Source organism: Homo sapiens, chromosome 5, assembly GCF_000001405.40.
Source record: "Homo sapiens chromosome 5, GRCh38.p14 Primary Assembly".
Classification (NCBI taxonomy): domain Eukaryota; kingdom Metazoa; phylum Chordata; class Mammalia; order Primates; family Hominidae; genus Homo; species Homo sapiens.
Genome location: NC_000005.10, coordinates 119187451 through 119215395, shown reverse-complemented (window position 1 = coordinate 119215395; position 27945 = coordinate 119187451). Strand labels below are relative to the sequence as shown.

Here is a 27945-nt window from a genome sequence, read left to right as displayed (position 1 = left end):
GCAGAGACTGCAGTAAGCCAAGATCGAGCCATTGTACTCCAGCCCAGGCAACAGAGCAAGACCCTGTCTCAAAAAAATAAATAAATAAAAGAAAGGCAATTAAGATCACTGTTCAATTGGAAAGTTCAAAGAGACCTACAAGATAACCAAACCAAAATATCCCTACACAAACAAAAATCAGTTGCCAGATATAAAGAGTCAAATATATTCTAATCTAAAGTATAACTTGCTTAGGAAGAATTTCAGTATTCGCTGAACATTCTGGCTGACTTGAGGATCAACTTGTCTTCTAAGGAAAGTCTCAGCTCTGACTACAAAACGCCGATCATCCGTTAATGATGTACAAGTCAAATTCCATAATTTTATGACAAAATTCCAACTTACCCACCAATCTGCCTGGCATCTAAAGTATACTAAATGTTCATTCTTAGGTTTTGAAGAAATTGGCGACAGAGAAAGATGATGGCTCCATGGAATAGAGGGATGTGCCACTTGCTGGTAATGGTTGGATAGGGCATCATACCAGTTTCACCTGGGGAGCTTTTTCGAACTTTACATGTAAAGTTTGGGAAGAAAGCTCCTGCAGGTATGAACTTCAAAAAACCTTTCTCTATGTAGGAATACATTCCTGTCCTCATTATTTACTAAAAACATTGTTTCTCAGTAAGGTGGTGTCAAGATAACCTGAATAAGAATCAACTGAGGTGATTTTTTTTTAAATACAAATACTCTGAACCCCATGTCAGATACATAATCAGAATGTCATGGGGGTGGGTCAAAGAAATAGTGGTATCTCAGAAGTCTTAAATTAAATTTGTGAATGACCATAAGTGGCAGAAGATAAGATTGGAGATAAAGGTAGAGGTTCAGTTCTTGCAGGGCCTTAAAAGACATAATAAAGAGTTCAAATCCTGTTCTAAGGCAGCGAAACCATTGGTGGATTTTGAAAAGCCAGGCTACTGTGAGATAAAACATAAAGGGTTTGAGAATGACTATCAGAAAACCAGTTAAAAGGCGACTACAGTAGCTGAAGTGAGAGATCATAGTGGGTTGGATTAGGGCAGTAGGAATGGTGATAGTGATAAGTGGCTGGAATTGGGATACATTTTGTTAATGGACTGTAATCATAGTGTGAATAAAAGAAGGAAAGAAAAAGGATGAATCCTAGTGTCAGGCCTGATAGGTGGGTGAGTAAAGGTACCATTTACTGAGATGGACAGAAGTGAAGGAAACAGTAGGGAGTAGGTTCGGAGCAGGCAATGTCTGGAGTTCGGGAAATTAGTTGAGAGAGATTTGAGAGTTGTCAGCATACAAATTATATTAATATTTAAACCGTAAGATAACCCAAGGAGAGAGTAAAGACAGGAAAGATAAAAAGTTAGAGAACTGAATTCTGGGGCAACCAATATTTCAAGGATGGGAAAAAGGACAATTCAGTAGTTATCAATTAGCTAATATAAGAAATAGATTAGTTTGATATTATGGAAACTAAGTGAGGAAACAATTTTAGAAAAATGTTATGCGTCAACACTACCAAATGATTATTAAGAAGTTGAATCATATGAAGATAGATAATTGACTACTAAATTTAGTATACTGGAAGTCAGTGGTGACTGTGTCTAGGACAATCTCAGTGGAGTGGGCTGGAGATAATAACCAAATTAGAGAGAATGTGATATCTGGTGAATAAGAAGGGGAGTCCACGGGGAAAGGATCACAGAGACATTCAACTGAATTGATAATGTTTTATTTCTTAAGCTGGGTGGTTTGTTTATGGTGTTTCAACATTATTGTTTAAATCTTGAAGGACTTTATAGGCAACTCTAAGTGAATTTTGCTACATAGGAGACTAGAGAAATGGAGTATTTTTTAAAGGCAAAACATTAAAATATATTTGCTCATGCTAATGAGAATAATTTGAGAGAGGTAAACATTTATTGACAAGGAGAGAGGGAGATGGGCTTCAGTTATTAAGAACTGAAGACAAGTTCTTGGGTAGGTGAAAGCAGATAAGAACTGTGCACAAGTGAAAGTTCTGGCCTTGAACAAAAAGGGTAACAGTTCACTCTGTTAGAGGAGGCAGAAGAAAATATCTGCATACAGAGCAGAAATTAGATGATGATGGGCAGGTTAGGCTAAATCACTGCTGACTACACTTATTTTGACAGCAAAATATATTGATCTGTGGGGAGTAGGAAACAAATACTGGAAGTTTCAGGAAACAAGGAAAAAGTATGAAAATGAAAATGAAAAAACAAATTTGCTACAGAGCAATTTATTATGACTGCAGGGTAGTTTTATATTAATTTTGGATTTGTGCTAATAAATGTAAAGTGAGGCAAGCTCCAGGGTTTGTGCTTTTCCTCCAAACATGTTCAGCTGCTTGAGTGCAGGCACAGAATAGGACAAAAAGTTGGGTTTAAGAAGGTTTGGGAATTTTCAAGGCAAGTAGGAAGAACAGGGATAAGGATGTTTGCAAGTGACTGATTGATTCCATGATGGATCATGAAATCTAAGCTGGGAAGGGAAGGAACTAGGAACATGATACAGTCAGCTAAAAATAGAGACAGAACTTGCATGTGCTATGAATGTAATTTTATTTGTTAAAGGCCTCACAACATAACATTATAGTTAAAAAAAAAATCACAATGAATATGGTCTTAAAAGATCTCCTAAAGTTTCAAGTCACACTCTGTAAAGATTTCATGCTTTGATTGGGCTGGACATGTGAAGAAAAAAGAATCCAAATATTAACGCTAAAAGAGATTTAAAGAGATTATGCAGATCAAAAACTAAACACAGAATTGCTATATGATCTAGCAATTCCACTTCTGTATATACCCCAAAAAACTGAAAGCAGAGATTCAGATATTTGTATATCAATGTTCATAGCACCATTATTCACAATAACCAAGACAGACACAACTCAAATGTCCACTAACTGACGAATGGATAAACAAAATGTATGAACATACATTAGAATACTATTCAGCCTTAAAAAGAAAGGAAATTCTGACACATGCTAAAATATGGATGAACCTCAAAGACATTATGCTTGGTGAAATAAACTAGTCACAAAAGGATAACTATTATACAATTCCATTTACATGAGGTACCTAGGGATAGTAAAATTCATAGATACAAAAAGCAGAATGGTGGTTGCCTGGAGTGGGCGCCAGAGGAATGGGGAGCTGTTGTTTAGCGGGCACAAAGTTTCAGTTTGGAGAGGATGAAAAAGTTCTGGAGATGGATGGTGTGTTGGTTGCAGAGCAGTGTAAATGTACTTATGGCCACTGGGCTGCTTTACAAATGGTTAAAATGGTAACTTTTATGTTATTTATATTTTACCACAAAAAGGAATTATGCAGAAACTGATCTGAACATTGCTTGGGTTCCACAGAGCTGCCCTTAGAAGCTGGAGGAGAAAGAGATAGTTACAATAGATTAACACCAGGATCCTACGGAATATTTCAATTAGAGAAGCAACAGGTTTAAAATTATCAGCCCTAATTTTACATGTCAGTAAATGAGGCTCCAAGAGTGGAAGAAGTGAAAGGTCATACAGCAGATCCATGGAAAAAGTGACTGAGACCCTGGGTAGTCAGTAGTGATTTTCATTTACTAAAACCTACAATATAAGGTTGTGTACTTGGAACACTTCATTGCCACTCTAATGACACAAATATGAAGTAAAATGATATCTAAAGAATGCCGAAGGCATAACTGAAAGAAAATAGGAAGCAATCAGGTGAACATAAAATGGTGTCAATACCCCAAATATTAGGGAATATAAATACTAAAGAAGACATAATTTGGTTTTCAAAGTCATAGCAGAAGAAGGAGAGGCAGCATCACCATGGATTCTACACATATTTTAATAGGGCAACATGATAACTTTATGCCAGTAAGTTTGACAACATAAATGAAATGTACACTTCTTGAAAGACATGTACTACCAAAACTGACTTAAGAAATAGATAAACCTGAATTGCCCTACATCTGTTAAAGAAATTAAATTTGTCATTTAAAAAACTTCAGGATTCTACCAAACACTTCAGAAATAACACTAATTCTATAAAAATTATTCCCCAAAATTAAAGAGGACAGAACCTTCGTCAATTCATTCTAAGAGTCTAGCACTAATCTGAGACCAACACAAACAACATTGTAAGAAAACTACAAACCAATATCCCTCATGAACATAGATGTAAAAATTCTTAAAATTTTATCAAATGTAACTATATATAAAAAGGATAACACATCACGACCAAGTATAGCTTATGCTGGGAATGCTAGATTGGTTTAACATTTTTTAAAAAAATCCTTAACCTATCATACTAAAAAAGAAAAAAGGATGATCATTTCAATAGTAGGCAAAAAAAAAAAAAAAATCATTTGATAAAATCCAACATCCTTTCCTTATGAAAACTCTTAACAAAGTAGGAATGCAAAGAAACGTCCTCAAACTTATAAAGGGCATCTACAACAAACTTAAAGAAAACATTATACTTAATAATAAAAGACTGCTTTCCCCAAGATCAGAAACAAGATAATAATGTCTGCTGGTGATCACTTCTATTCAACATTGGACTGGAAGTTCTAAGTCAGAGTGATAAGGCAAAAAAAAAAAAAAAAAAACGAAAGAAAAAAGAAAAAAGAACTTAGAAGAATAATATATTTGAATGACTTACAATACATGACTTCATGATTTATTATAAGGTTATAGTGATAAAGACAGTGAGCTATTACCATAAAGATGGATCAATGGCCCAAAACAGACTCCAGAATTAGACCTACTCATCTGTGTCAACTGATTTTTGAAAAGGTGAAAGAGGTAGTTTAGTGAAAGAAAAGATAATCTTTTCAAGAAATAATGCTGTAACAATTGACATACAGATGCAAAAACAACAACAGTAACAAAGAACTGAGGTCTATACTTCACACCATGTAAACAAATTAACTTGAAATGGATTAGACCTAAATGTAATACTGAAACTCAAAAACACTTAGAACAGGAGAAAGTTTTTGTGATCTTAGGTTAGGCAAAGATTTCTTAAATACAACACCCAAAAGAAAATGAATAACCAGAACTAATACATTAGACATCATCAAAATTAAGAACTTCTGCACTTCAAAAGAACTTGTGGCCGGCTGCGGTGGTTCACGCTCCTAATCCCAGCACTTTAGGAGGCCGAGGTGGGCAGATCACTTGAGCCCAGGAGTTTGAGACCAGCCTGGGTAACATGGTGAAACCCAGTCTACTCATCTACTAAAAATATAAAAATTAGCCGGGTGTGTTAGTGCACACCTGAGGTATGAGAATCGCTTGTACCCAGGAGGTGGAGATTGCAGTGAGCCAAGATCATACCACTGCACTCCAGCATAGGCAACAGAGCAAGACTTTGCTTAAAAAATAAATAAATAAAATGAAAACACCTTGTAAACAGAATGAAAAGACAAGCCATAGAGTAAGAGAAAATATTTGCAAATCACATTTCTGATAAATTACTTTTATCCAGAACATACAAATAACTGTTAAAATTGAATCAAGAAAACAAGCAACCTAATACAAAATAAACATAAGATTTGAAGGCAATTCATGCAGAAAGATAGACAAATGGCAAATAAGCATGTGATAAGATGCTTGATGCAAATTAAAACCACAATGAACTACTACTACATACCTACTAGAATGGTTAAAATGAAAATATAGACTACACACCAACTGTTGGTAAGAATGTGATGCAAGGCTGGGCATGGTGGGTCACACCTGTAATCCGAACACTTCAGGAGGCTGAGGTGGGAAGACTGCTTGAGCCCAGAAGTTTGAGACCAGCCTGAGCAACATGGAGAAACCCCATCTCTACAAAAAATAAAATTGAGCTGGGCATGGTGATGCATGCCTGTAGTCCCAGCTGCTCAGAAGGCTGAGGCAAGAGAACTGCTTGAGCCCAGGAGGTCAAGGCTGCAGTGAGCCGCAATCACACCACTACACCCAGCCTGGGAGACACAGTGAGACCCTGCCTTTTAAAAAAAAAAAAAAAAAATAGAATGGGATTTCGTACACAATCCATTGAGAATATACATAAATGGTACAACCACCTTGGAAAATATTTGAATAGTTTCACAAAACGTTTAACATATACCTACACATGATCCAGTCTTTCTACTCCTAGGCATTTACACAAGAGAAATGAAAGCATTTTTCCATAAAATGTGACTTTTGCATGAATATTCAAAGCAGTCTTATTTGGAATAGGTCCAAAATAAAATCAGCTCAAGTGTTCATTAACAGGTAAATAAACTATGGTATATCCATATAATGTAATAAGCATCAAAATAACAAGAATGAACTACTAAAACACACAACATAGATGAATCTTGAAATAATTATGCTAAGTCAATGGACACAGACTATAAACCAAAAATGATGTATTATATGATTCTATTTACATAAAATTCCAGAAAACAACAAATGAATCTTTAACACCAGGAAAAAGTTTGGTAGCTGCCTGGGGAAGAGGGCACAGGTGGGAGAGAAAAAAAAATGGAGGGATTAAATTCTGGGGACTGATGGATATAATCATTATCCTGGTTGTGGTGATGGCTTCGCTAGTGTATATACATGCCAAAATTGAACAAGTTGTACACTTTAAATATATGTAGTTATTTTAGGTCAGGCATACCTTACAAAGATTTTTTTTTTAAACTATATAGCAGTGGGCTTGGAAAAATGCTGGCCAAAATGATGTTAACCCTCCCCTCAAAAAGACTGTATTTTGACGTAGCATGAAGCTGACTATAGAAATACAACATTATGATTATTAGCATTTTATAAACAGCATCAAAACAAAAATGTTTGTATAAGAATTCCTGATATGTGGCTGGGCACGGTGTCTCACACCTGTAATCCCAGCACTTTGGGAGGCCAAGGCAGGCAGATCACCTGACGTTGGGAGTTCAAGACCAGCCGGACCAACATGGAGAAACCCTGTCTCTATTAAAAATACAAAAATTGGCTGGATGTGGTGGCCCATGCGTGTAATCCCAGCTACTCGGGAGGCTGAGGCAGGAGAATCGCTTGAACCCGGGAGGCGGAGCTTGCAGTAAGCTGAGATCGCGCCACTGCACTCCAGTCTGGGAAACCTGAGTGAAACTCTGTTTCCAAAAAAAAAAAAAAAAAAATTCCTGATAATGTGTAGACAGTAATAAGTAATCATCAAAACCCAGGCAAGGAAAATTGTTAACTGATTAAAAGTTTGAATTATATTCCCTCAAAACCCCCAAAGGCCACTAGATAGTTTGAAAGTATGAATGACATACAGACTTATTTTGCAAAAGTTTTAGTTATAATATACACCTGATATCAAATCAGGCTTTTTAATTAATTGCACAGAATTATTTCTCCTATTTTACCAAAGGATTCCCATTGGAAAGAATAAGGGGTAGAAATTAGTAACCTTAAAAATTTTTTTGAGCAATTTTTCACTTAAAAATCACTGCTGAGATTGTTTTAAATATAGAATATGAAAAACATGAGTTAAATATTAACCTCATAAAGTCGTAGTTGAATTGGCCAGGCGCGGTGGCTCACGCCTGTAATCCTAGCACTTTGGGAGGCCAAGGCAGGTGGATCACCTGAGGTCAGGAGTTTGACATCAGCCTGGCCAACATGGCAAAACCTCATCTCTACTAAAAATACAAAAAGAATTAGCCAGGTGTGGTGGTGGGCGCCTATAATCCCAGCTACTAGGGAGGTTGAGGCAGGAGAATCGCTTGAACCTGGGGGGCAGAGGTTGCACTGAACCAAGACTGTGACACTTCACTCCAGCCTGGGCAAAAGAGCGAAACTCCGTCTCAAAAATAAAATAAAATATAGTCATAGTTGAATATGCAATCACAGGACGCCTAGGAGTTTTTTCATAATTATACAGATTCTCATCTTTTGTGCTTTGGTTCTCAAGTACCATGAGTACTTACTATGTATCCTCTTAAGGCACTTTGCTACATGCTATTGCTACCAGTAAAATAAATGCTATGTAACAGTATTTACTATATTTTTAGGAATTAATATTAATTCCTAATTTGAATTTTTTAATATCATTAATTTTAATATCATTAATTCCTAATTTTAGTATCATTAATTCCTAATTTGAATTTTAACTTCAGAAGTGATATTTGCAGAATTAAAACAATACTACTAGACAATTGCTATTGTAATCACATGTATTAAGAACTTTAGTTGTATTTACTCAGAAAAATTTGTAGCCAAAACAAGATACATTCAACTCCCTTTAAAATTGCATTCTCTTATCTAACAAAACAGAAACCACTTTTACAACTGCAGTATTTAAGTTGTTAAAATAAAAGGAGAATAATTTGAGGGAACAATACTTTAAATCCATTGGAAACAAAGACCAGTTTAAAAGTAAAATGCAAATGCTTTGTTCTTTTGTGAAAGAATGCAATTTTTAATTTCAGTTGAATGATATTTTGTACCTTATTGATGTTTGGCTCCTCCATCATAGAATTTTTGATGGTTTCACTGTTGTCCTCTAATGACTTCATCAAGAAAGAATAACCACATGACAAAGAGTAAAGATGAGATGTAACATGCAAAATACTGGGGATTGTTTCAATGCTATATTTTAAACCAAATTTACTAGAAAAGAACATTATATGGAGTTACTATTCTCAAAATTTCATACACCTTATAAGAAGCATGTGTGAGGGTGCATGGTTAGGAAATGAGCAAAACTTAATCCCTCAGAACTCATTAACTACCACTATAAATTTTATTCTAACCCTAAGAAGTTTTTACTCAATTTCGAAATGTTGACATTAAAGCACGATTGAAACCAAAATACTTTATATTAAAATAATCAGAGCTACTGGTGTCAGAGTACTATGAACAAAGTCGAATTATTCTCTTACTCGCTGCTTTGTCTTATCTCCACATCTGAACCTTCAGGAAAATCTCTTGATTAGAAAATTTCAATTTCTACATGTATCTAATTCTCTTCCACTGATGAAGCCAGAAATAGTCAATAAATTGCTGGGAAGCACATACACTTCTTAAAAGGGAATAGTAGTACTTGTTAAAGAAAGAGTTGTTCCAAGACTTTTAGTTCTTCTCAGAAACTCAAACAAAACAAAACAAAAAAAAACAGAAAAAGGAATTGGGAACAATGATGGGAGTTGTCAAGTCCCAATTTTTTATTAAGAATGACTTAATCTAATTGCAGTTGTCTGTACTTTCTATTTAAATACAAAGGGAGGACATTCTATTTTAAAACACAGGTACCAGTAAACTTTACCAAACAGGAAAAGAAAAGATCTGAGAAAACCAGGATTTTAGGGTCAGATGAAGAAACTGTAAAATTTCATTTTCAAACACATAAAGAAATAAAGAAAGAGCAGTTCTCAGAATACTCTCCCATCACCTGCCATCCAAAATACAGGGCCTGTCATATATGTATCTCCTAACCATCTGGAAAATCACAGTGACTTTGACTAAAATATTTAAGCATAATCATCATTTTAGAAAAATAAGAGATGGAAGGTGATTTTGTTAATACTAAAAATAGGCTAGTAACCTTTCCGGTAAAGATTAATTTCACACAAACTCTATATTCTATTTAATTCCATTCAAATCTATGCTTTACTATGTAACATTTTTCTTTTCATATTCTCTATCAAAAAGACACTATTTTAAGAGTATCACTATCAAGAATAAAACAACAAAGCAATAACAACAAACTTTTAATAACTACCATTAATTGTGTCAAGGTTTAAATAAGTTAAATCTATTTATCAAAACATTGCAAAGTAAGGGCTATTATAGTCATTGTGCATTAAAAAAACAAAATTCAGAGAAAATATTCAGCTTACTGATAGTCACAAAACTGTTAGTCCAACATTCATATTCATGCTCCTGATTAAAATAATTACAATAAAAATAATTTTAAAATTTTCTTGAGATATCATGAAACTCCAAAGAATAACAGAAATTTTAAAATGTGTAGTTATACTTATTATTTGCTATGTTTACGTACTCTGGCTTGACTATACTACTCTATTTCTTTAATGAGTCTATTCCTGAATCAACTAGACAATCTAATGGCTCAATAGTTTTTTTGTATTGTTTTCAGAACTACTTCATTTCCCAAATACCCAAATATATCGGCAGTAGAAAAATAAGATTTTTCTAAGATTAATCAAATATGTCAATTTTTTTAAAAAAAGATCAAATAAACAAATGAAATACATTCATGTTTGTCTAAATTTCAATATTACACCAAGGTACTCAGGTCAAAAGTCTTCTAAGTCAGCAAGAACACTACATACTATTTCCTGACTTGGTCGATTTGAATATATTTACAAAATGAGGCAAATAGTAAATAACAGCATATACAGTTTCCACTTAAAATTGGTGCTTAAATTGAGAGACAATGAGATATATATGTAATTTTCCTTTAAGGTAGAAAGGTTAGATGTCAATCTTGCTTTTTGCTTACTTGTCTATTGTGAAGCCATTCAATTTATTTCTTCAACTGAAATATCTTCAGTGTTTCCTCCAACTTCAAAAACTGTACAAAGCTTGCTTTCAGACTAGTTCAATGCTACTCAAAATGTGGTTCACATACCAAATGTCAGTTCTGAACTCTTCGTTACCAGTCCAGGAGACAAAAAGAATTGACTACATCACTGCATCTACTGTTCAGTTCACCTGAACTTTTTAGTAACAAAACTTACCCAATGAAAGAAACAAGTTCCCCATATCATCAGACTGATATTTATTACTAGCACTAAACTAAATGACAAAAAAAAAAAAAAACCCATTATGATAATATCAAGGTATAAGCAACCAGTTACACTACAGGTTAATTTGGGTTTGTAAAATTTCATTAATTTAAGCATAATCCACAGAAAAGAAAATGTACATATTTAAAAAGTTGGCTGGGTGCAGTGGCTCAAGCCTGTAATCTCAGCACTTTGGGAGGCCAAGGCAGGTAGATCGCCTGGGCTCAGGAATTCAAGACCACCCTGGGCAATATGGTGAAACCCAGTCTCTACCAAAAATACAAAAAATTAGCCAGGCATGGTGGCGTTCATCTGCAGTCCCAGCTGCTAGGGAGGCTGAGGTGGGAGGATCGCTTGAGCCTGGGAGGCAGAGGTTGCAGTGAGCTGAAATGGTGCCACTGTACTCCAACCTGTGTGACAGAGTGAGACTCCATCTCAAAAAAGATAAATAAATACAATAAAAATTTTTCAGGCCGGGCGTGGTGGTTCACACCTGTAATCCTAGCACTTTGGGAGGCTGAGGCGGGTGGATCACCAGGTCAGGAGATCGAGACCATCCTGGCTAACACAGTGAAACCCCGTCTCTACTAAAAATACAAAAAATTAGTTGGGCGTGGTGGCGGGCACCTGTAGTCCCAGCTACTCGGGAGGCTGAGGCAGGAGAATGGTGTGAACCTGGGAGGTGCGGAGCTTGCAGTAAGCTGAGATCGCACCACTGCACTCCAGCCTGGGTGACAGAACAAGACTCCATCTCCAAAGAAAAAATAAATAAATAAATAAATAAAAAATTTTCAGTATACAATTAAACTTCTAAGTTACAATTAAACTTCTAAGATAGACTTCTTTTAACTGTCACATGAAAATCATAGAAAATTTCTATCTTGTCTCTTAAATTGATGATCATGACAATTCAAAACAAGATGCGGAATATTAAACATTTTTATCGAGAAAAAAGTCCCAAATACATTTGAATTAATTAAATTGATTTATGAAAATACTGCCCCTTTTATAAATTACACTGTTCTAAGCATTAATTGCCTATGTTTATGATACGTGTTTTCAAAAAATCTGTAAAATACAACTCATTTTAATGGTTACATGATAATATAAAAGACTTCAATAATAAAATAGTAAACAGGTTTTAACTTATACAGACCTCATTTAGACACCGTTTCTTTGTGAATATATTTTTGATAAAGGTTTCCTGAATTTCTTCCTGCTTCACCAAATACTGCCAAAGCCTCTTCACAGACAGTGCCAGATGGTGTTTGGATCTACAGAGAGAGACAGCAAATTTAATGATAAACTTCAGAAATTTCTGACTAACTTGATAACAATTCCTTGGTGCCATATAAATTATAATAAATTAACTGCAATCAGACTGTATGACTGGAGGCAGATCATATGGCCAACCTTTTCCTTAAAGGATTTCCTTAAAGGATTAGTACATAATTCAGGCTTTGTGGACCATATGGTCTCTGTCACAACTACTCAAGTCTGATAATGTACAGGTAAAGTATCCCTTAACTAAAGTACTTGGGACCAGAAGTATTTTGAATTTCATATGTTTTCAGATTTTGAAATATTTGAATATATATGTCTAAATTAAAAATTCATTTATGTTTCATATACATCTTATATGCATAACCTGAAGGTAAGAAATTATATATATATAAAAATATATAAATATATATATATATATATATAAAAATATATATATATATATATGTATGTATATTTTTGAGATGGAATCTCAATCTTTGGCCCAGACTGGAGTGCAACAGGGCGATCTTGGCTCACTGCAACCTCCACCTCCTGGGTTCAAGCGATTCTCCTGCCTCAGCCTCCCGAGTAGCTGGGATTACAGGCACCTGCCACCATGCCCAGCTAATTTTTGTATTTTTAGTAGAGACAGGGTTTCACCATGTTGGCAGGCTGGTCTTGAACTCCTGACCTCAGGTGATCCACCCACTTCGGCCTTCCAAAGTGCTGGCATTACAGGCAGTGAAGGTGAGAAATTATATTTTTAATAATTGTGTGCATGAAACAAAGTTTGTGTTAAATAGTTATATGTGGCATTTTCTACTTATAGCATCATGTTGGTACTCAAAAAATTTTGAATTTTGGAGCATTTCAGATTTGAATTAGGGACTGTCAACTTGCAGTGGGAAAGCAACTACTGGCAATATGCAATTGAGAGGATTTATGGCTATAATCCAATAAAACTTTATTTAAAGAAGCATGGAGAGGTCTGGATTTCACCTGTGGGGATGGCCATAGTTTGTTGATCCCTAACCTAGGGCCATAGGATCTAACAAAAGTAGGTATGCTTTAGCAAAATCTCTGGGACATAGCTAAGGCAGCATTAAGAGGGAAATTCACAGCACTAAATGTCCACATCAAAAGTTAGAAAGATCTCAAATTAACAACCTAACATCATAATGGAAAATATCAGAGAAGCAAGAACAAATAAACCCCAAAGCTAGCAGAAGATAAAAAATAACAAATATCAAAGCTGAAATGAAAGAAATTGAGACACACAAAACCATTCAAAAGATCAACGAATCCAGGAGTTGGTCTTTTGAAAAAATTAGTAAGACAGACAGACTGCCAGCTAGACTAATAAAAAAGAAAAGAGAGAAGATACAAATAAACACAATTAGAAATGACCAAGGAGATGTTACCACTGACCCCACAGAAATAAAAATAACCATCAGAAACTACTATGGACACCTCTATGCACACAGACTACAAAACCTACAAGAGATGGATAAATTCCTGGACACATACACCCTCCCAAGACTGAACCTGGAAGAAATGATTCCCTGACCAAACTAATAATGAGCTCTGAAATTCAATCAGTAATGAATAGCATACCAACCAAAAAAGGCATAGAACCAGATGGATTCGCAGCCAAATTCTACGAAATGTACAAAGAAAAGCTGGTACCATTCATACTAAAACTATACCAAAAAACTGAGGAGGTGGAACTCCTTCACACCTAATTCTATGAAGTCAACATTATCCTGATACCAAAACCTGGCAGAAGTAACAACAAAAAAAACAAAACTTCAAGCCAATATCCTTGATGAATGTCAACACAAAAATCCTCAACAAAATACTTGCAAACCAAACCCAGCAGCACATCAAAAAGCTAATTCACCATGATCAAGTAGGCTTCATTCCCAGGATGCAAGTTTGGTTCAACATATGCAAATCAACAAATGTGATGAATCACATAAACAGAACTAAAGACAAAAACCACATAATTATATCAATAGATGAAGAAAAGGCTTTTGATAAAATTCAACATCAATCCATGTAAAAACTCTCAATAAGCTAGGTATTGAAAGAACATACTTCAAAATAGTAAGAGCCATCTATGACAAACCCACAGCCAACATCATACTGAATGGGCAAAAGCAGGAAGCTTTCTCCTTGAAAACCAACACAAGACAAGGATGCTTTGTCTCACCACTCCTATTCAACCTAGTATTGAAAGTCCTGGCCAGAGCAAGCAGGAAAGAGGAAGAAATAAAAGGCATCCACATAGGAAGAGAGGAAGTAAAACTATGCCTGTTTGTAGATAACATGATTCTATATCTAGAAAACCCCATGTCTCAGCCCAAAAGCTCCTAGATCTGATAAACAACTTAGCAAAGTTTCAGGATACAAAAATCAGTGTACAAGAAATCACTAGCATTCCTATACACCAACAACAGCTAAGCTGAGAGCCAAATCAGGAAGGCAGCCCCATTCACAACTGCCACAAAAAGAATAAAATACCTAGGAATACAGCTAACCAGGAGGTGAAAGATCTCTACAATAATTACAAAACACTGTGCAAAGAAATCAGATAAGACACAAACAAATGGAAAAAACATCCCATGTTCATGGAGAAGAAGAATCAATATCATTAAACTGGCCATATTGCCCAAAGCAATTTACAGATTCAATGCTATTCCTAACAAACCACCACCAACATTCTTCACAGAACTAGAGAAACCTATTTTAAAATTAATATGGAACGTAAAAAGAGCCTGAATAGCAAGGCGATCCTAAGCAAAAAGAACAAAACTGGAATCACATTACCTGATTTCGATGTATGCTACAAAAACACAGTAACCAAAACAGAACAGTATTGGTACAAAAACAGGCACATTGACCACTGGAACAGAATAGAGAACTGGGAAGTAAGGTGACACGCCTCTGGCCATCTGATCTTTGACAAAGCTGACAAAAACAAGCAATCAAGAAAAGACTCCCTATTCTATAAATGGTGCTGGGATAACCGGCTAGCCAAATGCAGAAGATTGAAACTGAATGCCTTCCTTGCAACATACACAAAAATCAACTCAAGATGGATTAAAGACTTACATGTAAAACCAAAAGCTACAAAAATTTTAGCAAACAACCTAGGCAATACCACCCCGGACACAGGAACAGGCAAAGATTTTATGACAAGGACCCCAAAAGGAATTTCAACAAAAGCAAAAATTGACAAATAGGATCTAATTAAACTTAAGAGCTTCTGCAAAACAAAAGAAACTATCAACAGAGTAAACAGACAACCTACAGAAATGGGAGAAAATACTTTCTATGTACCTGATAAAGGTCTAATATCCAGCATCTATAACGAACTTCAACCAATTTAAAAAAGAAAAACAAACACCACCATTAAAAAGTGGGCAAAGGACATGAACAGACACTTTGCACAAGAAGACGTACGTGCCAATAAGCCTAAGAAAAAAGCTTAATATAACTGATCATTTGAGAAAAGCAAATCAAAAGCACAATGAGATACCATCTCACACCAGTCAGAATGGTTATCATTTAAAAATAACAGATTATTTATAAAAAATAACAGATGCTGGGAAGGTTGCAGAGAAAAGGGAACACTTACGCACTGTCAGTGGGAGTGTAAATTACTTCAATCATTGTGGAAAGCAGTATGGCGATTCCTCAAAGAGCTAAAAACAGAACTATCATTTGACCTAGCAAACCCATTACTGGGTATATACCTAGGGTAATATAAATCATTCTACCATAAAAAACACATGCACACAAGTGTTCGCTGCAGCATTATTCACAATAGCAAAGAAATGGAACCTAAACGCTCATCAGTGACAGACTGGATAAAGAAAATCTGGTACAGATACAAGAAATACTATGTAGCCATAAAAAAGAATGAGATCACATCTTTTGTGGGAACATGGATGGAGCTGGAGGTTACTATCCTTAGCAAACTAGCACAAGAACAGAAAACCAAACACTGTATGTTCTCACTTATAAGTGGGAACTAAATGTTGAGAACTCATGAACACAAAGAAGGGAACAACAGACAGTGGGGTCTACTTGAGGGGGAAGTGGGGAGGAGAAAGAGGATCACAAAAATAACTACTGGGGGCCAGGCATGGTGGCTCACAGCTAAAATCCCAGCACTTTGGGGGGCTGTGACAGGCGGACTGCTTGAGCACAGGAGTTTGAGACCAGCCTGAGTAACAAGGTGAAACCCTGTCTCTACAAAAAATACAAAAAATTAGCTGGGCATGGTGGTGTGTGCCTGTGATCCCAGCTATTCAGGAGGGTGAGACAGGAGGACTGTTTGTGCCTAGGAGGTGGAGGCTGCAGTGAGCTGTGATTGTGCCACTCTACTCCAGCCTGATTAATAGAGCAAGACTTTGTCTCCAAAAAAGGAAAAATAACTACTGGGTACCAGGCTTAGTACTACCTGAGTGATGAAATAATTTGTAGAACAAATCCTCACGATGTGAGTTTATTTCTGGGATCTCTATTTTGTTCCACTGGTCTATTTGTCTATTTTTGTACCAGTACCATGCTGTTTTGGTTACTGTTGCTTTGTAGTACAGTTTGAAGTCAGGTAATGTGATGCCTTGTTCTTTTTGCTGAGGATTGCTTTGGCTATTCCAGCTCTCTACTGGTTCCATCTGATTTTAGAATAATTTTTTTCTAATTCTGTTAAGAATGATGTTGGTAATTTGACAGGAATTGTGCTGAATCTGTTGACTGCTTGTTGTTTAGTGCTATAAACTTTCCTCTTAACACTTTTGTGACCAGCTATTTTGAAAAGCATCGTTCTAGAGCAGGCATCAATAAACTATAGCTCACAGTCCAAATCTAGCCTACCTACCATTTTAAGAAATAAAGTTTATTGGACAAAAACTGAATATATTTGTGTACATGTTGTCTATGGTTGCTTTTATTCTACAATGGCAGGGTTGAGTAGTTATGACAAGAATGTACAGCACAAAAAGTAAAACTCCTATCTTAAAAACAGTATTCAGGGCAGGTGCGGTGGCTCACGCCTGTAATCCCAGCACTTTGGGAGGCCGAGGCAGGTGGATCACCTGAGGTCAGGAGTTTGAGACCAGCCTGGCCAACATGGTGAAACCCCATCTCTACTAAAAATACAAAAATTAACCAGGCGTGGTGGCAGGCGCCTGTAATCCCAGCTACTCAGGAGACTGAGGCAGGAGAATCACTTGAACCCAGGAGGCAGAGGCTGCAGTGAGCTGAGATTGTGCCACTGCACTCCAGCCCGGATGACAGAGCGAGACACCATCTCAAAAAACAAACAAACAAAAAAACCCAAATAGCATTCATAAGAAAACCTACTTGAAAGGAGTGTTTGTAGGTTCCAGTAAAGCTTTGTGGCGAAGAATTGCAGGACCTGCAGACAAACTCTCTTCGGCGGTATGACTTGCGATATAATTTTGAGGTGGCCCACCATGGATTTCAAGTCGTCGGAGAAGAACTTGTTCCCAACATTGAAGAGTTTTTAGAACCGCATGACAAAGAGGTGAACTAACTGGAAGCTCTAAAATGGGAACATTGACTCATATTAATCTTATGCAGTAAAATGCCATATTCAATTTTAAGAAAGACTGAAATGAGAGAGGGGAGAGCAGATGCAGGAAAAAAAAAAAGACTGAGATGAAATATTAACATACACTTTGGCAGGGAAGATGTGCAAGGTGAGGTGGGCAAAGAAACCCAGTGGATTACAAAAGGTATGCCATAAATCTGTGTAAGTATTTCAACATTACTGCTTTTGACCTTAATATTACCAGAAAAATGTATCTGAAGATTATGAAAATATGTATGTGGGGAAAATTAATCGCTTTAAATCAAACTTGTCCAACCCATGGCCCACAGGCTGCATGCGGCCCAGACAGCTTTGAATAAAGCCCAACACAAATTCATAAACTTTCTTAAAACATTATGAAATTTTTTGTGATTTTTCTTTTTAGCTCATCATCTATTGTTAGTATCAATGTATTTTATGTGTGGCCCAAGGCAATTATTCTTCTTCCTGTGTGGCCCAGGGAAGCCAAAAGATTGGACACCCCTGCTTTAATTTGTATCAGACTAATTTCTGTATGGCATATAACTCTTTAAGATCTGTAGAAAATGAAAACAATACATAAAGTTAAAATTAAATAATACTTGCCATGGAACTCAGCACTTAGCAGTTCTGCCCATCCATACTCTTGAGTACTGATCTCAGTTTCAACTTTTAGTTATTCCTACTACTTACCTCCCTATATCTAAATAACATGCTTAATACTTAATTTTTCAATTTTAGAAATGACCTACTGATTTACTACTACGGCATAATGAGAATAAACTCCTCTGTCCATCATTATGATAGTGTCTTATAAAAATCTTTGGTTAAATTGGTATTTTTGTGTTTACCTTATCATATATAGGGAACTATAGTTCATAGCAGAATCACTTAGTATGTTATCATGCCCCTTTCTTTCCTGTACAATCTTTTCCTCCTTTGAAGTTAATAATTGCTAGCTTTTGCATTTGCTTAGTTTTCTCTCCATTGTAAAATCCCTCAACACTTGGCTAGAGTATAAATAGAGTCTCAAGACAGTCAATCACATCACATTCAGTGCCCTTGATTTCTTGGATGTTGCCATCCTCAAGCACCTAACAGTATGACGGATACATTTACAGATGGTTGGTTTAGTTAAAAGAAATCTAACTTCTGTAACAGGAAATCACTAAATTTTCCCCCCAGTCCAGACCAAAAAAAAAAAAAAAAAAACAACAGAGTAGTAAGTCAAAAGCAATGGCACCATTAGCTCATGTTGAGCTATTTATTACCTGCAAGATCATGACCTGCGAAGGGATAAAAAGTCTTCAAATTGTTGAGCACCAATTGCACCATCGCCAACCGCATCAAGGACCAACTAAAAATAAAGCAACGATGGATCTGTTAACTATTTCTATAGGGATTTAGAAGAGTATACTACCCTTTGACTCAACAAATTCCACTATCAGGAATCAACCTGAACATACCCCTCTATGAAAACAAAATAATATATGCATAGAGGTAGTCATGTCAGCTTTATCTACAATAGCAGAAGTGTAGAAATAACCAAAATTGTCCATGAGGAGAGTACTTGTTGAATAACTATTTTTGACCTATGGAATATTAGGGTAACCATAAGGAAGAATGAAGAAGGATCTCTAAGTGTTAATATGGAGTCAGTTTCGGTATGTAGTAATAAATAAAAAGCAGGTAGCAGAACACTGTATGTAGTATGCCACCCTCTCTGCAAGAAAGCAGGGGGAATAAATTTAGATAGATGCTTTTGCTTATTTTTGCAAACAGAAGGATAAACCAGAAGCTAATAAAAGTGGTTAGCTGTAGAGGATGTGCAGAAGAAATTGGATAGAGTAAAGAGAAGTTTAAGTAAAACTTGTGATTTCACATTTTTATATAGTTTGATTTTTAAAAAAGTCAGGTTCTCTTTTATTTCAAGTGGAACATATTTATTTCTTAAAGGATTGAATTTTTAGTAATTTTTTAATGGTAAAATACAAAAACATAAAATTTACCATTTTGGCCATTTTTAAGTTTATAGTTCAGGGGCATTAAGTACATTCACATTGCTGTGCAACCACCACCACCATCCAACTCCAGAATTCCTTTCATCTTGCAAAGCTGAAACTCTAAATTCATTCCCCATTCTCCCCCCACCACCAGCCCTTGAAAACCACTATTTTATTTTTATTCTTTATGTATTTCACTATTCTAGGTACCTCATGTAAGTGAAATCACATACTATAACCCTTTCTGTGACTGATTTATTTCACTTAGCATTATATCCATGTTGCAGCATGTGTCAGAATTTCCTTCCTAAGGCTGAATAATACTCCGTTGAACGTACATAGCACATTTTGTTTAGTAATTCATCTGTTAAAACACACTTGATTGTTTCTTCCCCTCAGTTACTGTAAATAATGCTGCTAAGAACATGGGAAGTACAAATACCTGTTTCAGTCCCTGTTTTCAATATTTTCAGGTATATATCCATAGTGGAAATGCTGGATCATATGGTAATTCTATTTTTAACTTTTTAAGGAACCAGTATACCGTTTTCCACAGTTGCTGCACGATTTTACGTTCCCACCAAAAGTGCACAAAGATTCCAATTTCTCCTCATCCTTGCCAGCACTGTTATTTTTTTTGTTTTTGTTTTTGTTTTTTTTTTGGTAGCCATCCTAATGCATATGAGATGTTGTCTCATTGGGAAACTGATCTGCATTTCTCTAATGATTAATGATATTGAGCATCTTTTCATATGCTTATTGGCTATTTTCATATCGTCTTTGGAGAAATGTCTATTCAAGTTTTTTGTTCATTAAAATTTTTTTTTTTAGAAATATAGATCGGGTTTTGCCATGTTGCCTGGGCTGGTCTTGAACTCCTGCGCTCAAGTGATCTGACCACCTCGGCCTCCCAATGTTCTGGGATTACAGGCATAGGCCACCATGCCCAGCCCTTTGTTCATTTTTTTAATTATTTACCTTTTTGTTGTTGAGTTGTGCAGTTTGACTTTTAAATGATTTATATATTCAAAAAGTAAAATTCATTCAGCAGGGGGAAAAACCTCAATAAACCAGGAAGTAAAAATCTCATGGTAACTTTCAAATAAAGAATGACTTCAATGTCCCTCATATATTTACTTCTTTTGGAAAATTCACATTTTTTATCACACCATTAACATACCATGTTTTAGTAAAACATACACGTTTTAGATGTAAACATATCAATAGAGACTAGATAATATTCCATCATTCATGAATGTAAGAATAACGCAGTATTGGAGCTAGAGGTGAGCATTTAGAACATGTGTATGACATACAGAGTACTTTTTGAAGATAGTACCTATTGACATCTTATAGTACTAGTGTTCTACTGAAAATATATTTTCCAGACAAAAACAGTAGAACTTGTTTATGTTAGAGCCCAAAATGCAAGGTATAATCTTGGAGCAAGATCTGTGAGGAATGATGCAAATTACGGATGGTCCATTAATGGACAACCAAAGGTATGTGATAAATTATTGTTAAGGAAAGGAATTTAACAATTTCAACTAAAGAAATCTGAGTTACAATGTGTTATAAAGTCAACAGAGAAATTATTGTTAAGGAAAGGAATTTAACAATTTCAACTAAAGAAATCTGGGTTATAATGTGTTATAAAGTCAACAAGCTATTAATTTCACATGTAATTTTTTCAAAAATATTATTTATATACACCATTATTTTTAAAAAGAAATTTAAAATAAAATATACCATACCTATATGAATTTGAATTAGAATGTTCCTGGAGATGGAAATCTGATGCTAAAACATCATCATCATCATCATTGTCATCATCATCACTTCCCAGACTCTCCTCTGAATCATATTCGGCTCTACTTTGAGAAGAGGGTAGAAAAGGCTAAAATAAAGAAATCATGAAATTTAGCAGCCACATATCTAATTTAATACATTCAAACATACAGTCTAATAGTAATAATTCATCTCATTTGCAGATACTTCATTATAAGAGAGTTAAGTAACTATTATCTTACCATCCTATGCCTTTGACATCAATTGATACTATTCCATTATTTATTCATCCATTCAGCAAAAATTTATTAAGTATCCACTGTGCGGCAAGAATTCTACCGGATTTAAGAATTTTTAAGACAGATACAATCACCACCCTCATTTACTTTTTACATGTTACTGGAAAAAAATAGGCAAATAACAGAAAACTAAATACAAACTGTATTATGTGCTACAAAGAAAAGAAATGGAGAATAAGGAGAATTGAGATAAGCTGACCATGGAAGGCCTCTTTGAAAAGTACGAGAACTAAATGACAAGAAGGAACAAGCCATATAATAAGAGGGAAGAAAAGCATTTTAGACAGGGGAAAAATAATGCAGAAAGAGTTTGGGAAAGAGTTTGGTTTGAAAATAGTAGTTTGATCAAGTCTGCTAAGCAAAAAAATGCTGGGAGAAAGGTTGGAGAGAATAGCAAATGACGGCTCAGACAGGGTCTTGTAGGCCATGGTAAAGGAATGTAAGGGAATGCCACCAATAAGTTGTACGTAGAAGACAGGTACTGAGGTTTATATGCTAAGTATATCACTACGATCACTCTCTTATGAGAGAAAAGCTAAACGGCAAGGGTAGAAATGGAGACATCAGTAACTAAAACAGGAGTTGGCAGGTTGGACATAGGTGGTTAGTAATGAAGCTAGAGACAAGTAGTAGATTTAAGATATATTTTGGAGAAAGAACCAACAGGTCTGCTGATAGATTTGGAGAACAAGAGAAGTTGAGGAAAAATGAATGACTCTTAGGTTTTTGGCCTGAGCAACTATAAGGGTGAATATACAATTTCATAAAATGGAAAGACTGGGTATGAGAGGGAAGGTTTTGGGAAAAATCGATATAAAATGCCCAAATCATGAAGACCAAGATTTATGTGTCAAACAGAAGAGGAAGGATGAAGAAAGAAGATTATGAAGGAATAAATAGTAAGTTTAAGAAAAAAAGCTACAAGAGATTGTCATCAAGAGAAAAGGAGAGAAAAGCATTTCAATATGGGAGTAGTGAAGAATGTTGAATGATGCTAAGAAGACAGATAAGAAAATAATTTAAAAGTTTCCACTACATTTGACATGGATATCACGTGAATCTCAACAAGATCAGTTTTAACGGGTGTAACTGGGTCAGAAAGTTATATAAGTAAGTATGAAAGGGGAAAAAGGCAGTAGAAAGCAAATGTGTCTAGTTTTGAAAAGCTGAATGTGAGTGGGAACAGAGAAATGGGATAGCAGCTGGAAAAAGTTTCAGGGTCAAAGCAGGGGTTTGGAATGGGAGATACTAAAGCACATTTCTGTCCTGATGTGAAGGATTCAACAGAGAGGAAGAGAACTGAAAACACAGGGGAGAGTAGAGAAGAAAAGAAAGAATGCAATTCAGAGTAAAACTCGAGAAAAGGTGTCTGATAGAAGGACTTTCTCCATTATAACAGGAGGAAATAAGACAGGAGCAAATGTAATTGATCTGTAACTTTAAATTGGGATGATGAAAAAGTTTTGTCTGATTTTATTTTTCTCAGTGACTTACAAGGTGAGGTCATCAATTAAGAGTGAGGATAGGATGGAAGGGGAGATGCAGGAAGTTTGAAAAAAAGGTTGGAAAACCTTGGAAGACCAACAAAGAAACACAGCAGGGAGAGTGGAACTTCTGGAACAGCTGAGTAAAGAGCTTGGTAAGTCCTTTCTCCAAAAAGCAACAATAAAATTGAACAAAATTGTAGAAAACAAACAATGGTTGACCCATGCATATAACACATAGAGAAGTATTTATTTTTAAAAATCTATGGGATCTGATCTGGGTAAAACAGTAAGAACTTGGTCAGGAGCTGTTCCCATCCCACCCCAATCTCTGTGGTGTAGGTGTTCCACCAGGGTCAGCAGGGAAGGCTGTGAAGACTGAGTTCTGATGCCCTGCCAGACAGGATTGTCTTTAAAATTCTAGGCCCACAGGCATTATCAAAAGCAACAGAGATCTCAGTAACAAACAATTAGGGAAGGTAACATCTCAACTACTTTGAGGTTGTGATATTGATTGGGTGGAAGGGCAGACACTAAATATTTAACAAAAAGATTCAGAAACAAGATAGCTAAAGAAGGCCTTGCTAACCAACAATCCTATATCCAGCAAAACTCTCCTTCAAAATATGGAGGTGAAATAAAGATATTCCTAGATAAATGAAGTGCTTAATAAACATTTGTTGAATATATGAATGAATAAATGACTCAAAAAAGGGCAGTGAGGAACAAGGAGACCCAAACTCCCTTCACTACCCTTAAACATTTAGGATATGAGAAAAATAAAAGCCATAGCTCAGCAGGCCTGGGAGACTTGTGTCACCAGAGAACAGTTACAGTTAGATGTCAATTTGTGCAGGAGAACGTCTGGAAATTGAGAATGTGAGGGATGTGGCTGATGACACAAAAAGTGAAAGATACTTATATAGGCAGTCCTTGTTTTGCACAGTATTGCATGCCTACAAAAATGACCACGCACGCATAAACTATACAGAGCAATAATAATCAATGGGAAAAGTTACAAATGTTTTGTGACCTTTAAAGATATTTGTCAAAACCCTAAAAACTCTTACCATTAGCTATAAATGTATAGAAAAAGTTTTTTTAAATAAACTAATTTTAACATACTGTAATTAAAACATTAGGAATACAAAGAAATAAAACATTTTATCAAGAGTAGTTTGAATAGCAATTGCCTTCTATCTCTGTAACTCAGGATATGAAGCAAGCATTTCTTCTGTGCCTTAAACAAACTGTCACATTTCTAAGATTTTATCAGCTTCCAACATACTGTTCTTTGCATTTTCAATGTTGTGAATCCCTTTAACGTAAAGTTTTTTGGCAAAGTCACTATCTCTGAACATCTTCATCATTTTATCACAACTACTTTCTACATTTATAAGTTCACTTTCACTAAATTCCTCTGGCTGTTCATCTAGAGTCTTTCAAATGGCAGCACTGTCAACATACCCACAGTTGGCTATTTTCTCTCTAACTTCATTTATGTTCAACTTGAATTTCACTCTCAGTACTATCACTTTTTTTATGGATGCACTTTCATCTTAGTTGGCCATTTCCCTCTTTTGATCAAATCCAATTTTGTACACTATCATATGGATTTATCACAGGAGATGAAGCAAAACAACTGCATGCTTTGCTGTGTATGAACTGAGTAACAGGTGCTACATAATCAATCACTGAAAGACTTTAAAAGAACTGACATGATTGGTCACTGATCAAAAAGTGCACATTTACGAAGTGATTTCTAGAATGAAGCGCTAGCAGGGAAGTTTACTCATATTTAATACACTGTGGTAACAAATGTGAACCATGTTGTTGAGGGAATAATGTTACTTAACACTGGTAATTGAAATTTATGGATTTCAGAATAATGAGAGACTGCTGTAGTATAAAAAAGAGTATATGGATAATAGATGACCAGAGCACTTTGATTCCTTAATCACCATCAAGTACATTAACATGAAGATGTTACGCAAATTCTCTTTTATCTTATAAGAAATATAATAAAATGCAAAAGCTATTGTTTAAAATGCAAATGTCATAATTTACCAAAAAACTGCCTTAAAAACTATATGAAATATGGTCAAAATATTCTAGGGTATATATTTTTGGAATGTAGCCTGATACTAATGAAAATTTTCTAAACCAAAGTGGGAAAACATTTGGAAGCACCAAAAATGACACTTATTTCTGATATTCTCATTTCTATTTGACTATGAAAATATTGATCTAGATAGCATTTTAATTACCTTAGCTATGAAATAGTCCCAGATACTGAGCTCAGGTGGGATGAACTTTTCTTTAACCGCCAGTGACTCCTGGCTTACTGGTGCCGAGGAAGGGGTCAGTGGGGCAGATTCTCTGCAAGACATTTTTGACGGCCTAAAACGTTTGTTCTGTTTTTCTCCTTCTTCAACTAGTGAAGAAACTAACAAAAAGAAAATAAAATGTTACTGAAGTACTATTTTCATTGCATTTATTTCACCTGTGTTTACATAAGAGCTAAGGTTAACTACAAATAAGCACACACAAAAAAATAAGATTGAGATTATGAAAGTACACAGCAGGTAAGAAAATAAGTAGAGGAAGACAAAAATCATTTCTGTCTAGCAACCTCTGCTTTTTCCTCAATTTGTCCCTCACTCTCTAAATGCTGACTTACCTATTGTATGTGAAAAATAGAAGGATGTAATATCCGCCCATAAATCAGTCCACAATTTAACTAGGAACACGATAGGAAATTTCCAACATCCTTCTACTTTGCTTTTTTTTAAAGATTATCATGGGATGTCAGTGTTAATTAAAAGCAACAACTCCCTTCTGAGATTCTTCGGTAATGATGTGGCCTTATATCTAAAACTATATTTTTCATTAGAAAATATAAACAAAATTCAGGCACCATAACTACTTAAACTGATTCAAACTTTCGGAAACGGCTCAGAGACAGAATTTTCCAGTCAATGGAATTACAAAGAAGAAAATAATGCAATTTTGTTGTTTTATTTTGTGAACACTCTATAATTAGATAGTATTTTTTTAGTATATTACCTCAGAATACTAAAGAGATTAGCATTAAAAAAATTATACAAATCTTTAATCAACCTTGAGTTACAAAATGCAAATCATCAGTAGACAATCAAGGATTTTGCAGACAAAGGCATGATCTAATACACAGGCAAAGAATTCCACATTAAGGCACACCAATATTCTCCTTTAATGGCTCCGATGAGATTTTACTCACCTTCCAAAGGAATGCAAATACTTGTGCTGTAATACAATTTGGTTTTATTGTTTGAAGCGTCTCAGCTTGCAGACACATCATGCACATGCATTATAACAAGCTATAGTCAAGCTGAGTTTAACAAAGTAATTTGGTTATTTCAGAAAAAGGGAAAGATGAATAAAATATTAGTATTCTAAGAGATTACTAAAAAGTGGCATGATTATTACTTAATCTTTCAAATGATTTTAAAAGGAACTGTGAGATTAAATGTGCAAATTTTTTTCTTTGTTCTTACTAACATTTGATAACCAACAATCAAGTTTCCAGTATTACTGCTGCATACATTAACACACATTCTAAAACTTAAACGGTAGTTTACCAACTTCTCATCAAGTGAAAAGTGAGAACTATAGAGATATTTTTTTACCTTTCAAAAACTTAATGCTAAGTTTTAAGATAAATATATCAATTTATCATTTGGCTTTAACATTACTGTTTTGTCTTTTTTAAGAGATGGAGGTCTCCTTATGTTGCCTAGGCTGGATTTAATCCCTTGACTCAAGGGATATCCACACCTCAGACGCCTGAGTAGCTGGGACTACAGGCTTGTGCCACTGCACCTGGCTGTTTTTGTTTTTATGTTATTAAAAAGCATGTGAACCAAGAAGTATAGACAATCTCTGAAAAAAAAACACGTACAATGTTAAATTAATAGATTTTTGCCAAGATTAGTATGTCATAAAAATAGTTTTCTTTTTTTCTTTTACTGACCCACTGGTAGATAAAAATAGTTTTAAAAGTAAAATATAAGAGAGTTTTTAAAGACAGAAACATTTGAAACTACAAGCTGTGAATCCAGTCACGTGACATGAAAATATTAACCACACTGGGAGGAAATGTTTAAAATTTACAGACTCAACACCAGGAAGTATAAAACCACTTATTAAAACACTTTTTGGCTGGGTGCGGTGGCTTACGCCTATAATCCCAGCACTTTGGGAGGCAGAGGTGGGCAGATCACCTGAGGTCAGGATCCAGCCTGGCCAACATGGTGAAACCCTGCCTTTACTAAAAATACAAAAATTAGCCAGGCATGGTGGCACGTGCCTGTAATCCCAGCTACTCGGGAGGCTGAGACAGGAGAATTGCTTGAACCTGGGAGGGGGAGGTTGCAGTGAGCCAAGATCGCACCACTGCACTCCAGCCTGGGCAACAGAGCAAGACTTCATCTCAAAAACAACAACAACAAAAACAACACTTTTAATGAAGCAGGACCAAAGGAAAAAAAATCGGCAGTTTCACAGTAATGAATGTGTATTACTTTAGATGCTTTAACTAAAAAGACCTTAGCGATGCCACCCAGTAAACAAGAAATGACCTGTGACTTGTCAATAGGGTAGTTACTCCCTCTTCTTTGTCCTCCAATTGTAGGAAGACTTAAGGCAATTTTATGCTTGAATCC

General features: G+C 35.5%; 1 protein-coding gene across 26 annotated transcripts in view; it reads right to left on the bottom strand.

Moving 5' to 3' along the window:
• The window catches only part of DMXL1 (Dmx like 1), a 178101-nt gene that overhangs the window by 33732 nt on the left and 116424 nt on the right, over nt 1-27945 (bottom strand). For 15 of the 26 annotated variants that reach the window (XM_011543213.3, XM_017009145.2, XM_005271912.3 and 12 more), the window contains 6 exons: nt 25510-25688; nt 21426-21568; nt 18940-19025; nt 17440-17641; nt 11960-12077; nt 8500-8562 (listed from right to left, as the gene is read on the bottom strand). In XM_011543213.3, coding sequence (XP_011541515.1) covers nt 8500-8562; nt 11960-12077; nt 17440-17641; nt 18940-19025; nt 21426-21568; nt 25510-25688 — 791 coding nt within the window. The remainder of the gene's footprint in view (nt 1-8499; nt 8563-11959; nt 12078-17439; nt 17642-18939; nt 19026-21425; nt 21569-25509; nt 25689-27945) is intronic. The other 11 variants (NR_170869.1, NR_170867.1, NR_170868.1 and 8 more) reach the window with 1 other exon arrangement.